The sequence below is a fragment of the Homo sapiens genome, chromosome 12, assembly GCF_000001405.40.
Source record: "Homo sapiens chromosome 12, GRCh38.p14 Primary Assembly".
Lineage (NCBI taxonomy): Eukaryota > Metazoa > Chordata > Mammalia > Primates > Hominidae > Homo > Homo sapiens.
Window position 1 is genome coordinate 131,595,004 of NC_000012.12, and position 14,428 is coordinate 131,609,431.

The following is a 14,428-nucleotide window of genomic DNA, read 5'->3' on the forward strand; positions in this document are numbered from 1 at the left end:
AAAAATTGCGAGGGGCCGGGTGCGGTGGCTCACGCCTGTAATCCCAGCACTTTGGGAGGCTGCGGCGGGCAGATCACGAGGTCAGGAGATCAAGACCATCCTGGCTAACATGGTGAAACCCCATCTCTACTAAAAATAAAAAAAAACAGCCAGGCGTGGCGGCAGGCACCTGTAGTCCCAGCTACACGGGAGGCTGATGCAGGAGAATAGCGTGAACCCGGTAGGCAGAGCTTGCAGTGAGCAGAGATGGCGCCACTGTACTCCAGCCTGGGCAACAGAGAGAGACTCCGTCTCAAAAAAAAAAAAAAAAAAAAGCGAGAAGAGGAATATTCAAGTCTTTTCCAAAAATGGGCAGGGAACTTCCCAGAACAAGAGTGCCGCCTTCTTTTTGTGCTTTTATGGTTTCTTCTGGTCACTACCATGGCGATCGTCAACTGTCATGGGACTGGTGGGTGTATCATTGAGCGTGGAAATGAGATGATAATGAAGCCTGAGGTCTTTTGAAGCTGTTTGGCTGGCTATCCTGGTTCTAACCAGTCTCAGCTGGTCTGGTTACAGAGGGAAATTTTTATCGAAGGTGTCCCGTTTCTTAAAGATCAGCAGAGTTAGGGCAGGGTGGAAATTCAGCTATGTCACATAGGCATCACACCAGGTAACACACCACTTTTGCCAGTAAAGCTCAGGCCCAGCCCTTCTTCGCAGCGACTGGAGAAGCTCTCTACGTCCTGCTGAGGCTGCTGAGAAGTGAGGATGGAAGCCAGGAGCACCTAGCAGTCATCTCAGCTCCACAGAGGAGATCACTGCCTCCCCGCCTCAATATAATACTGCTTACAGGAAGGAAGGAGAATTCTCTGGTGATGTCATCTGAGCCCTCGGATGAAGCCATGCCAAAAGCAACCTCCTCCTGTTTTACCTAAGTCATTTTTCAGATGGGTTTTCTGTCACTAGAAATCAAGAGTCATGACTCAGGGTCAAGAGAGGGACTCAAGGTGAGAACCTGAGCAAGGGCGAACCAGGTCTGGAACCCGGGCCTCTTTCCACCTCCTGCCTGAACTTCCCCTGTTGTTCTGGATGTCAGAACAGCAGGCTTTTTGGCAGGTTAGTGCATGTGGAAATTAATAAGCAGTATCAGGGTTTTTAAAAAAATATATGCATTTATTTCTGGTGAAACTAAAACAACTGTTGAAGCAAAGAGGCCAAATTAACAGAACCACAGCTGCACTGAGTCCTGGGCTGCCCTGCTGGGGCCTGGTGTGTGACATCCCATTGTATTTTCACAGACCCCACGGCGGGGTCGGACAGCCTCCTTACTGCCGTTGGGGGAACTGAAACCTGGAGAAAGGACAACTGACTTCCCAAGTCCCATCGCTCTTCCTGGCAGAACAAGGATTTGAACCCAGGGCCACCTACCCAAGGCCACTGCTAGAAACAGCCATTGGTACAGAACAGGAAGAGGCATCCTTGGGGCTCTCCAAGGACTCATCAGAGAGCCTGGAATTCAGGAGGCTCAAGGTAAACGTTTGTGGATGAAATGAGGTAATAAACCTAGAATGTTTGCCACCTAGAGCCTTCTATCATTATCCGTCACATACACCCTGAGACCCCGCCATCCCCAGGAGAATATTCATCCCGGCGTGTCTCAGGTAGGTTGTCGGTTTCTCCATTAGGGAACAGGTGTTCCAGTAAAATGACTGTTTAATGAAGTTCATTAGGACACAGCTCTTGCCTGCAGTCCCGATGGCTGTAACAGGAGAGTGGGGAGATGGGAAATGCTGGGAAAGGGGTGCAGATACTAGGGTACCCCCAGGAATGTAGCCACCAGACCTGCCCCAGCCCTTCACCCCTCACTGACCAGCAGCAGCTATGAAGTACATGGTGACCTCATCCAGAGGTAGGGCCATCCCTGGATGTTGAACTCATCCAAAGCTCCGTTATCATAATGCTGGGTCCAGTCCTGCTGAGATCCCATCACAAGATTGACATCAGGGTCCCCATAGGCATGAGACACTTGCCTTCTCATGTCACAGGTGCTCAGGGTCCCATTGGCATAGACTCGCAGACCCTTCTTGGATGTCCACATGGTCTGTACATGAGTCCAGTAGGAGCCTGGGAAATCACAAACATCACCATTCTGAGTGCTATGGGAATGAGCCCACGGATACTGGTGTTTCTGCCTTTTAAGCACGTTCCCCTTTCTGAAGAGGATGGGTCATGGCTGATCTTGGGGAGTCCTAACGTAGGTCACGTTACAGGCCAGACTTTTCCCCATCCTTTGTGCACAGGAGAGACATTGCCCTTTGCCCACATCCCGCAGTCTCAAAAGCAGTTCAAACAGTCCTGGCTATTTTAACACAGAGGGACAAACTCAAACACCAACAAGCAAAGGTGATGATCAAAATATCTGAGAACTGGCAGGGCACAGGTACTGACCAGTCAAGCTGGAACCAACATATCTATGCTCCCACGCCCAGAACCTGGAACGCAGGGAGGAGGCAGAAGTGAACACGAGGATGTGGTTTCCATGGTGACAGTGATGCTGACGAGCACTTGAGGGGCATGGGGGCAGCCAGGGTTCAGCCCAGCTGCCGTCATCAGGGGAGAGTAAACCCTGCACACCAAGCGGTACTGTTCCCAAGAGAAGCTCAAAAATTCTGATTCTTATGTGGGATTTTCTAGTTGGGAGTGTTCACCACTAATTCAAATGTACGACACAAAAAGCCAATGCACAGGTTGAGGCCGTGCAGGACAGTAAAACCCATCTCTGAGCCAGTCCCTGCTCTGCGTGAGGCATGGGCAATTAGCCCGTCTCTGAGCCAGCCCCTGCTCTGCGTGAGGTATGTTCGATGACCCTATGTGGAGGGGCCAGGAAGGGCAAGGCCAAGCTCGGCCTCACTGGGGATTCTCCATCAGCGAGCTTGGCTGTTACTCTTCTGTCCACCCAGAGCACTGTGCTCACCAACAGAGGAATGAACGTCCATCTGACTTCCACGGCAGCTTCTGCCATGAAGGACCCCTAGGTTTTGTGAGCTTTTATGTACAGACCTTATCATGGACTCGCTGCCGGAAGGAACAGGGAATCTCTTTGGAAGGCACACACCATGGGCCTCTCTGCCAGTCACCCTAATCGCCCAGGAATTATATTGGGAATCTTGCTCAGGAATGTGGAACTTTCTGTAGTAATGTTGGGTGTCTGAAGAGAACCTGGGTCCTAAATAGGTCCAGGTAGAATTGCCCTTGATTCTGGAAGTAGGACCAGCAAGGATCCCTCCAGTATACAGTAAGAAAACATTGCCGAGCAGAACTGTTTTCCATGCTCCCAACTTCTGGGTGAAAAATTCAGCAAGAGCTTAGCAGAGTTCACCCCAAAATATGTTCTAGGAACCTGCCAGGTGCTGGAAATGGAGTCTGGCCTGCCAGCTCCAAGCACAGATAGATGGCTCCATCCCAGGATCTCTGACACCAGGTAGCACTTAAACGACACAGACAAGGCACCACTAGCTCTGGGGACGGGGAGACAGATTGTCTCTGGCCTCAGGATCAGAGGACAGAGCGAACAAGACCCAGTCAATGAACTGTATGTTGGACAGCCTCTAAGCAATGCCACCTCCCGGCACGGGCTGGAGAAGGCCCCCTCAGAGCCGGCAGCTTCTGCTGGAGGCGCCTTTCAGACCCCATCGGCCTCCTGTCTTGGTTCCAGGCATGGCAGGGCCTCCCCCAGAGCCTCCCTGGAACACTGAAAGCCCAATCACCTCCCAGCTGCCCCACAGCTTCAGGCCTCCTACCCCAGCCTCTGACCTCAGCCCTGCAGGTGACCTGGCCCCCATTCCAAGGAGAGAAGGGAGCCCAGCAGGCAGAGCTCCACCCTCCTCACCTCAGCTCCGCCCTCCTCACCTCAACTCCGCCCTCCTCACCTCAGCTCCGCCCTCCTCACCTCAACTCTGCCCTCCTCACCTCAACTCCGCCCTCCTCACCTCAGCTCCACCCTCCTCACCTCCTCCCTGCCCGTCACCACATCTGCATCTGGGGCCACCAGTCCTCCTCAGGCACCTGTGCCCCAGCCCTCCACTCCCCTCCTGGGATGGGGCCCTTCCTACTGAATCTCAGCCACCCCTCCCTGCATCTTTCCCATCAGCCTTTAAAGTCTCCCACCCAGATCGCTTCATCTCCCTACAGAGTAGTTCCAGTCCTGTCTGAAGGGCTTCCCCGCAGGCATGTCAGATCCAACATTTCCAGGAGCGAATTCATCAACTCCTGTGCGCAATAAAAGGAAACTCTTCTCTCCTTCTGACACCGAGCCCTGCAGGCCCCCTGCCCGCATTTCTCACTCTGTCACTTGCCTTCTCTGCATCCCTGGAGCAACCCCTGGTGTAAGCCAGCACCGCCTCTAATCTAGGTCACTGCCGCAGCCTCCACCCTGTGTTTTTGCAACATCCGTGTGCCATGAATCACAGGGAGCTCGAGCTGGGTTCTGATCTGGCACTTCTGGGTCCTGCATTTCTAACAACCCTGGTGTGGCAGTGGCACTGGTCCAGAGACGCCCATGGAGCAGTAAGGTTCTGACACATCTCCTTGCCTGTAGCATTGCCCACCTCTGTGTGCACACACACACGCATGCACACACACACCTGTGCACACACATACACACACACGGCATCCCAAGGGCCCTTCTGGTGTGCACACTGGGTCACCGCCCTCTCCGCCTCAGAGCCCCTGGTGTCTACTCAACACATGCCCTGCTCTCTCCGAAAGCGCCTCTGCTGTTGCCCTGCTCAGAGTGTCCTTCCCTCCTTCCCTCTGTAGGGCTGACTCCTCTGTGTCCCTGAGGCCTCCCCTGATGTCACCTCTTTGAGCCTGCACTGGGCTCCACCCCCAGGATGGTCAGGCGCCCCCCACCCCGTGTCCATCATGCCATCCATCACATTGTACTGCAGGGGCTGTATTACGGGTCTTTCACCCCAGAGAGACACTAAGCTCCGTAGGGGCAGGCGCCCAGCCCTGCAATGCCGCCTGGAGCAGAGAGGTCCTCGCCGCGCTGTTCACTGCGGAATGCGCACAGAGGTTCCGGCCGCGGTGTTCACTGTGGAATAAGTGGAGAGGTCCTGGCCGTTCTTGTCACTGCGGAATGAGCAGAGAGAATCCTCGCAGGGCATCTCCTGTCCTCACCTTCACCCTTCCTTTGGCCTGAGATCCAAAGGCAGACTGGAGCCAGATTCAGTCTTTCCCTGGATCCATGCACTAGGCATTGTCAGCAGGAAATAAAATGCCCATTTTCCTAATTATCAGAAGCAGGAGCCTCCCGGTTACCCCACCTGCAGACTTCAGGCTCCAAGGCTCAGAGCAATATCCGTAATTGCAGTTGATGCTAAATGTAGTAAATTATATCATTTCAGATGAGTCACACTTCATCCCACTAAGCTTACTTGAAGTAAGCGGGTCGTTATGAAGTACTTCTGATCAAGGAAAATAGATACATGTGAAGCTGTTGCGTGTTTGCTCCCGTTTGGGTTACAATTATTCACTCATTCAATGTTGCATTTTGAGCTCCTGCTGTGTGCCAGGAAGGTAGCGGCGAGCAGAGCAGATGAGGTGTCTGTCCGGGGAGGTCCACGTGCCAGTAGGGGTGGGAGACAACACCGTTGGGTGATGTGTAGCCCCCTGATGCCCACCGCATCCGTCCTGCCTGTGGGGTTGGTGCTGCCACAGTGCTGCTCCCCCACCCCTTCCTTGCCCTTAAGTCAGGGCCCTGTCAACGGCAGCACCCCCATTCTCACAGCTGCCCCACAGAAAACACACCGTGGGCATCGTCAGGGGTGTGGCAGGGCTGCAATGAAGGGAGGACCCCACGGGCACCCCCAGGGCTTGTGGTGGTCGTGGGAGATGGGGTCATTCATGTGTCATAAAAGTACTGCAGCGTAGCCTAGGTCAGGTACTCCAGAGTTTCCACAGGGCCTCGGGGCCTAGGTCAGTGTATTAGTCGGTTTTCATGCTGCTAATAAAGACATACCCAAGACTGGGTAATTCGTAAAGGAAAGAGGTTTAATGGACTCCCAGTTCCACATGGCTGGGGAGGCCTCACAATCATGGCAGAAGGCAAGGAAGAGCAAAGTCGTGTCTTACATGGTGGCAGGGAAGACAGTGTGTGCAGGGGAACTGCCCTTTATAAAGCCATCAGATCTCATGAGACTTATTCACTACCATGAGAACAGCACGGGAGAAACTGCGGCCATGATTCAATGATCTCCACCTGGCCCCGCCCTTGACACATGGGGATTATTACAATTCAAGGTGAGATTTGGGTGGGGACAAGCCAAACCATATCAGTCAGCCCCAGCCCCTCCCAAATCTCATGTCCTTACATTTCAAAACAAATCATGCCTTCCCAACAGTCCCCCAAAGTCTTAACTCATTTCAGCATTAACTCAAAAGTCCACAGTCCAGAGTCTCATCTGAGACAAGACAAGTCCCTTCCACCTATGAGCCTGTAAAATCAAAAGCAAATTAGTTACTTCCTAGGTACAATGGGGTACAGGCATTGGGTAAATACAGCCATTCCAAATGGAAGAAATGGGCCAAAACAAAGGGGCTACAAGCCCCATGCAAGTCAAGTCTTAAAGCTCCAACATGATCTCCTTTGACTCCATGTCTAACATCCAGGTCACGCTGATGCAAGAGGTGGGGTTCCCACGGCCTTGGGCAGCTCCGCCCCTGTGGCTTTGCAGAGTACAGCAGCCCCCCTCCTGGCTGCTTCCACGGGCTGGCATTGAGTGTCTGGCTCACAGTGCGAGGTGTCAGTGGATCTACCACTCTGGGGTCTGGAGGACAGTGGCCCTCTTCTCACAGCTCCACTAGGCAGTGCCCAGTGGGGACTCTGTGTGGGGCCTCCAAGCCCACATTGCCCTTCCACACTGCCCTAGCGGAGTTTCTCCATGAAGGCCTCACCCCTGCACAAAATTCTGCCTAGACATCCAGATATTCCCATACACCCTCTGAAATCTAGACGGAGGTTCCCAAACCTCAGTTCTTGACTTCTATGCACCCACAGGCTCAACACCACATGGAAGCTGCCAAGGCCTGTGGCTTCCACTCTCTCAAGCCATGGCCTGAGCTGTACCTTGGCCCGTTTTAGCCATGGCTGGAGTGGCTGGGATGCTGGGCACCATGTCCTGAGGCTGCGCACAGCAGGGGGGCCCTGAGCCCCACCCACAAAATCATTTTTCCTTCCCAGGCCTCCGGACCAGTGATACGCAGGGCTGCCGTGAAATTCTCTGACATGCCCTGGAAACATTTTCCCGTTGTTTTGGTGATTAACATTCGACTCCTTCTCACTTAAGCAAATTTCTGCAGCTTCAATTTCTTTCCAGAAAATAAGGTTTCCTTTTCTATCACATCGTCAGGCTTCACATTTTCCAACTTTTATGCTCTGCCTCCTCTCGAATGCTTCGCTGCTTAGAATTTTCTTTTCCTGGATACCCTAAGTCATCTCCCTCAACTTCAAAGTTCCACAGATCTCTAGGGCGGGGCAAAAAGCCGCCAGTCTCTTTGTTAAAGCACAGCAAGAGTGACCTTTACTCCAGTTCCCGACAAATTCCTCATCTCCTTCTGAGACCACCTCAGCCTGGACTTCAGTGTCCATATCACTATCAGCATTTTGGTCAAAGCCATTCAACAAGTCTCTAGGAAGTTCCAAACTTTTGCACATCTTCCTGTCCTCTTCTGAGCCCTCCAAATTGTTCCAACCTCCACCTGTCATCCAGTTCCAAAGTCACCTCCACATTTTTGGGAATCTTTACAGCAGCACCCCCACTCTACTGGTACCAATTTACTGCATTAGTCTGTTCTCACACTGCTAATAAAGACATACCTGAGACTGGCTAGTTTATAAAGGAAAGAGGTTTAATGGACTCACAGTTCCACGTGGCTGGGGAGGCCTCACGATCATGGGGAAGGCAAAGGAAGAGCAAAGTCGTATCTTACATGGCGGCAGGCAAGAGAGCTTGTGTAGGGGAACTGCCCTTTATAAAACCAAGAGATCTCACGAGACTTATTCACTAGAATGAGAACAGTATGGGAGAAACCACCCTCATGATTCAATTGTCTCCACCTGGCCCCGCCCTTGACATGTGGGAATTATTACGACTCAGGGTGAGATGTGGGTGAGGACGCAGCCAAACCATATCAGTCAGGTACTCCAGCATTTCCACACGGTCTTGGGGCCCAGGTCAGGTACTCCAGTGTTTCCACACAGCCTCAGGGCCTGGGTCAGGTACTCCAGTGTTCCTACACGGCCCTGGGGCCCAGGTCAGGTACTCCAGTGTTTCCACACAGCCTCGGGGCCTGGGTCAGGTACTCCAGTGTTCCTACACGGCCCTGGGGCCCAGGTCAGGTACTCCTGTGTTTCTACACAGCCTTGGGGCCTATGTTAAGGGTCTCTGTTGTGTCCAAGTCATCACAAACTTAGCAGCATAAAACAACACATTTTCAGTCAGGTCTGAGTCCTGGCCCAGCCAACCCTGTCCTCTGTTCATGTCTCACAAGGCTGAAACCAAGGTGCTGTCTGGCCTTGTTCTCATCTGAAGGCTCAGCTGTAAGACCCATATACAAGCCTCCCAGGATGTTGGCAGAATTCACTTCCTTGCAGCTGTAGAGCTCACAGCAGCTTCCTTCTTCATACCCAGCAATGGGGAGAGACTGTGGCTGTGAATCTCCGACTCAGGGAAGGTCTAGACCTTTATTTTCCTTTTATAACAGCCATCATTGGGCCTGTTAGCTGAGACACCTACTTGTGGCCTCTTCAAGGGCCTGAATTTGCCCACAGCCTGGAGGCTCAGTTCCAGGAGTGAGTTGGACCACTTCCAAGGAGCTCATCTGATTAAACCAAGAACACACAGGATAATCTCTATTTTGATCAACTCAAAATTAACTGATTAGCAACTATAATTACATCTGAAAAATTTCTTCTTTGCCAAAAAAACCATAACCTAATCACAAGAGTGAAATTTCATCCTATTCATAAGTCCTCCCACACTCAACAGAAGGGGATTTCACAGGGCATGTATACCAGGAAGCAGAAATTTTGGGGCCATGCTTCCTAGCCTGGATTCTTTCCTCCACAGCACTCCAGGGAAGATCTGGGAGCTCAGGCTCATTAAACGCAGGGTCTCACTTTCAGTCAGGCAAACAAGCAAGTGGTTACAGCCTCTTCCTGCTGCAGGAAAGACCCTGCTCCCATGCTCCAGTTCCCCGAGCCCACCCTCCTGACGGCCAGGGAAGCCTGCAGACAGGACTAAAGCCCGGGGTCTCCAACCCACACCCCCGCCTGCCTGGAGCTCTTACACTGCTGAGCCCGTCACAAAGCCCTGTGCCCTCCCGCCGTCCCACCGTGCCTCTCCACTCAGCACTGGCCAGCTCTGCGGGGGCCCAACACAGCTCACTGTGCAACTTTTCAGAAGGAAAGAAAAACAAATCCCAGTGAGATTCAGAGAACCTCAGCTGCGTTTAAGAATTCCTACTACACCATTCACTATGACATTCTGTCTCAGCCAAATATCCTGTTGCCAGGGAAGAAAAATTAAATTTTAAACACGAGCTGCAGAGTAGGTGTCGGTGGATGGCAAGCAACGGAAACCGCAAACAGGGCTGTGCATCGCCGTCAGCCCGAACTGCAGATTAATTGCTTCTGGTGGAGGAAGCAGCTTAGATCTAAACATCAACTCAGCTCCGACAGAGCCTCGCGGAAATCCAGAGCTGCCTCTGGGATCAGAATTTTGAGGACCTCTGCTCCCTGCACTTGGGAGAGTCTTAACACAAAGAACAAAAAAATTTAAAAGTCTGAGAGAAGAAGGAATAAACCCCACCTTCAGAATTTTCTTTGATTTTTAAAAAATTGTAGTGTTTAATCCTAGTTCATCCAAAATAAAAGTGAGAGAGGGGTTTTCTCTGCATATCAAAATGTCTAGAAGGCTCAAGAGAAAACATTGCTGTCGGTGGGCACTGAGAACCATTTGCTGACCCACCGGGAACCGGGACCTGTCACTCACAGCCACCCCACCGGGAACCGGGACCTGTCACTCACAGCCCTTCTGTTACTGGAAAGGGGTCCTGATCCAGACCCCAAGAGGGTTATTGGATCTCATGCAAGAAAGAATTCAAGGTGAATCCATCAGGTGAAAGGAAGTTTATTAATAAAGTGAAGGAATAAAAGAATGGCTCCTCCACAGGCAGAGTGGTAGTGGGGCTGCTCCACGAATGATAGTTTTTTCCTGACTATATGCTAAACAAGGGTGGATTATGGTCTAGAAGCCAGGAGAAGCCCTCGGTTCTGGAAACTGCCCACCCCTTTCCCAGAAGACTCATGATTATTTATGGCATTTGTAAACCGTCATGGCGCTGATGAGCAGTAAGGATGACCCCAGAGGTCACTCATTGCCATCTTGGTTTTGGAGGGATTTGGCCGGCATCTTTACTGCAATCGGTTTCATCAGCTGGGTTTGTGACCTGTGTCTTGTGCCGACCTTCTGTCTCATCCTGTGACTTAGAATGCCTAACCTGCTGGGAATGCAGCCCAGTAGGTCTCAGCCTGATCTTACTCAGCCCCTGTTCAAGATGGAGTCATTCTGGTTCAAATGCCTCTGACACTTCCCTCACCTTTAACCCTGGAGAGGGTGATTCCCTCCTGACCCCACAGAGCCCAAGCTGAGTTCTACTTTGTTATTTTCAGAAGAGCAAACCTCAGAAACAAGAAAGCCCCTGCACCATCGACAATAATGTTTAAAAACCTCAACCCCAAGCAACTTCTTTTCATCCCCTTCTTTTCCCAGCAAGACTTTTTTAAGGTTCAAAAACAAGCGCAAAACAGCAGCAACAAAAAATCATCAAAATCCCCAGGGTTTTGGTTTTGTTTTGTTTTTCATTATTCTCCTGGAGCTTTCCCATATCTAATATTTTCCAACCTTTTCCTTAAGGACATTCCCCCAGGTTTCAGGACAGAAGCATCTCAACAGGTGTGGGAGGTCTTTTCTGCTAGAGAGTGTAATTTTGGAACTGTACTCACATTTCTTTCCAATCTGGGCCAAGGTCTAATTCAGACGCATAACTGAAAATCTGGGTCCACTAACAGTGCCTGTGATTGTCCAACGGGTTGTTCCTGCCCACTGCACAAATAAAGACCACGGCACTGCAGTCAAGAAAGAGTTTAATTGCCATGAGGCCGGCCACGCCATGTGGGAGATGGAGTTATTACTCAAATCGACCTCCCCAAAAATTCATAGATTGGGGTTTTTAAGGATAATTTGGTGGGTAGAGGGTTGGCAAGTGGGGACTGCTGACTGGTAGGGTCAGAGATGAAATCATAGAAAGTCAAAGCTGTCATCTTGCACTGAGTCAGTTCCTGGGTAGGGGCCACAAGACCAAATGAGCCAGTTTATTTTTCTGGGTGGAGTCAGCTGGTGCATCAGAATGCAAGGTCTGCAAAATATCTGAAGCCCTGATCTCAGGTTTTACGACAGTGACTCTGTACCGTAATTTCTAATCTTCTAATTCGTAAGTCAAGTCCCTAGGCAAGGAGGGGTTTTGTTTTGGGAAAGAGCTGTTATCATCTTTGTTTCAAAGTTAAACTAAGTTCCTTCCAAAGTAAGCTCAGCCTACGCCCAGGAATGAACAAGGACAGCTTGGAGGTGAGAAGCAAGATGGAGTCGGTTAGGTCAGATCTGTTTCACCGCCATAATTTCCTCAGTTCTAATTTTTGCAGAGGCGGTTTCATGCCCAGACAGAGAAACGTCTGACATCGTTGTGCAACCCTAGAATACTGTTGTGAAACTGTTCTTGTGCCCCATTTACCAACTGCACAAATTCACCAACTTTTTCAGACAATAGTCGTCTCTCAGTATCCTCGGGAGGTTGGTTCTGAGGCTCCCATGGATACCAAAATCTGAAGATGCTCAAGTCCCTTATATAAAATGGTGTGTTATTTGCATATAACCTAGGCACATCCTCCTGTATACATTAAATTGTCTCTGCATTCCTTATAATACTCAAGATAACACAAATACCGTGCCAATAGTTGTTATCACTGCTTTTTTATTTACTTTTGATTGTTGTATTGTTATTTTTATTGGGTTTTGTTTGTTTTTTGTTTTTTGAGACAGAGTCTCACTCTGTTGCCCAGGCTGGAGTGCAGTGGTGCGATCTTGGCTCACTGCAACCTCCACCTCCCAGGTTCTCCTGCCTCAGCCTCCCGAGTAGCTGGAATTACAGAGGCCCAAGACCACGTCCAGCTAATTTTTGGATTTTTAGTAGAGATGAGGTCTCACCATGTTGGCCAGGCTGGTCTTGAACTGCTGACCTCAAGTGATCTGCCCACCTCGGCCTCCCAAAGTACTGGAATTACAGGCGTGAGCCACCATGCCCGGCCCCAGGTTATTTTTTAATATTTTTGATCTGAGGTCCAAGGACATGGGGCCTATGGATATGGAGGGCCACGTCCATCTGTTTCCCCTCTCAGATTCTTCCCAGTCACCCTCTCAAACTTGCCAGTTGGTATTCTATTCCGGTTTAACTCTGGCATTAACTCATCTCAACCTAATCTCAGTGGAATCATAGAGGTAGATTTTGGATCCGACATTACCTGGGGGATTCTGTGGGAGTTAGGAGGAAGAGAAGTGAGTGTTTGTACAATCCACTGACAGCTATTCCTGTACTGCCTGTGTCTTCATTGTTTTGAATTTCTGTTTCATTTTCTATTTTTAAGCCTGTCTTGAGTCAGTTGAAATCAGATTAGCTGTCCTCTGAAGTTCCTTCCAGTTCTGAGAATCTGTGATTTCATTTAATATTAAACAGACTTGTGAGCAAACATGAAGGATGCGGAGGTATTTTATGAACTATAAACATACCAACACCAGTATGAGATTACTAATTCAACCTTTGTGTGTCTTGTGTATTCACACGGAGTACAGGTGCCTCAGGGAAGGGACCCAATGGTGTTGGGTCACCGGTTTCAGTGCATGCTCAGTATGACAGCCATAAGATCTCACTTTGCATGCAGTGGCTGGTCGGGTGCGGTCATCCGTGGTCACACTGCACCAGGGATGCCTTCAGGAAGGCTGTTCAGACCTTACAGAGGCATCTTCCCCTACACACAGAATTCCTTTTCTTTCTCACACACATGGTCCTTCAAGTTGTTTTCCAGACTTTTTTGTGTATAGGCCACGGATTCCAGCAGTGGTGGAGGGTGAGTCACTGTCACCGGTGGTAATTTATCATAGTTACCATGTTGGGAGGTTAGGAGGGGCTGGTTGTCATTCATCCATCCTCAGATTGTTTTTGTGATTTCTCTCAACATCAGTAGGTTGGGGTTTTTTTGATGAATTGTGTTTGTTTGTTTGTTTTTCTACCTTCCAAAAGTCTTTGTGGGATACTTCATTTTGGCTCTTTCATGTGTCTGGATGGTCTGACATTTTTGTTTTATTACAAAATTGAGCGGTAGAAACTGTAAATGAAGAATTTCACTCTTAGAAATGTCCAGCAAAGATCATTTAAATAGGTGAATAAAGAATTGAAGGTCCTCAGTTAGTAACATTACAGTCCTAGCATAAATTCTTCCTTAATTTTCATCTATGATGGGTTAGCTCTGATTAAAAATACCACTGGGGCTTGCGATTTTTACTTCTCTTCAGTTGCATTCGATATCAATTTTGTTTTAATTGTTTTATTTACATTTCATAGGAAATCAATGCAATGGACAAATGAGAGAGAAGCAAAAACACATTAATGGCATTTGTTTTTGCCATGTGACCATTTGAAGCAATTCTGGGAATAAACAGTTTAAAATCTGTTACTGTTTAGAATTAAATACTTTATATTTGGCATGTACTGCCTTCGTCTGATTTCTGCGTTGTTTCCATGGAAACGCGCATAATTTATGTGAAAGCGCCACACCATGTGTGATCACTTATGTTTAAGCCCAGTTTGGGATATTGTCTCTCGTATCCCCACACCTCCTCACCACTATTTTGTCTTTGATATGGAGCAGGTGTTGGCGAATGCAGCAACATCACTAAGGCAAGTTCCACCATAGACAACGCAGATATTTTGCTTGGAGAGTTTCTGCTTTTAAAATCTTTGGGGGAGCCAAGCCAACACCCCATGTTCACTCTGACACGTGGCTTCTGTGGTTCTGCGGGAACAGAAACACGCAGTTCCAGGACGGGCCTCCAGGGGGAGGTTGGGGCCGCCCTTCCTGCTCAGCCTGCAACCGACTCCTCCCGCCAGACAGGCTGTGGTCAGAGACACAACAGGAAAATCAAATTTGTTGATTTTCCAAACAAAAAGAAGTTGGTTTGTTTTTTGTATTTTACAGGTTTTTTTTCTACTTCGATAGCATTTTGGTGGTTTTTGTTACATGCATGAATTGTGTGGTGGTGAATTCTGAGAT

At 49.6% G+C, this 14,428-nt stretch overlaps 2 annotated features.

The window, feature by feature from the left end:
• Nucleotides 8,818-9,358: an enhancer, noted in NCBI's record as "H3K4me1 hESC enhancer chr12:132088366-132088906 (GRCh37/hg19 assembly coordinates)". NCBI's record gives its function as "activates a minimal SCP1, AML or CMV promoter by ChIP-STARR-seq in naive H9 embryonic stem cells {active_cell/tissue: H9 hESC(naive)}" and the evidence as "EXISTENCE:reporter gene assay evidence [ECO:0000049][PMID:30033119]".
• Nucleotides 12,642-12,831: an enhancer, noted in NCBI's record as "active region_7366". NCBI's record gives its function as "activates an Ori minimal core promoter by ATAC-STARR-seq in GM12878 lymphoblastoid cells {active_cell/tissue: GM12878}" and the evidence as "EXISTENCE:reporter gene assay evidence [ECO:0000049][PMID:35858748]".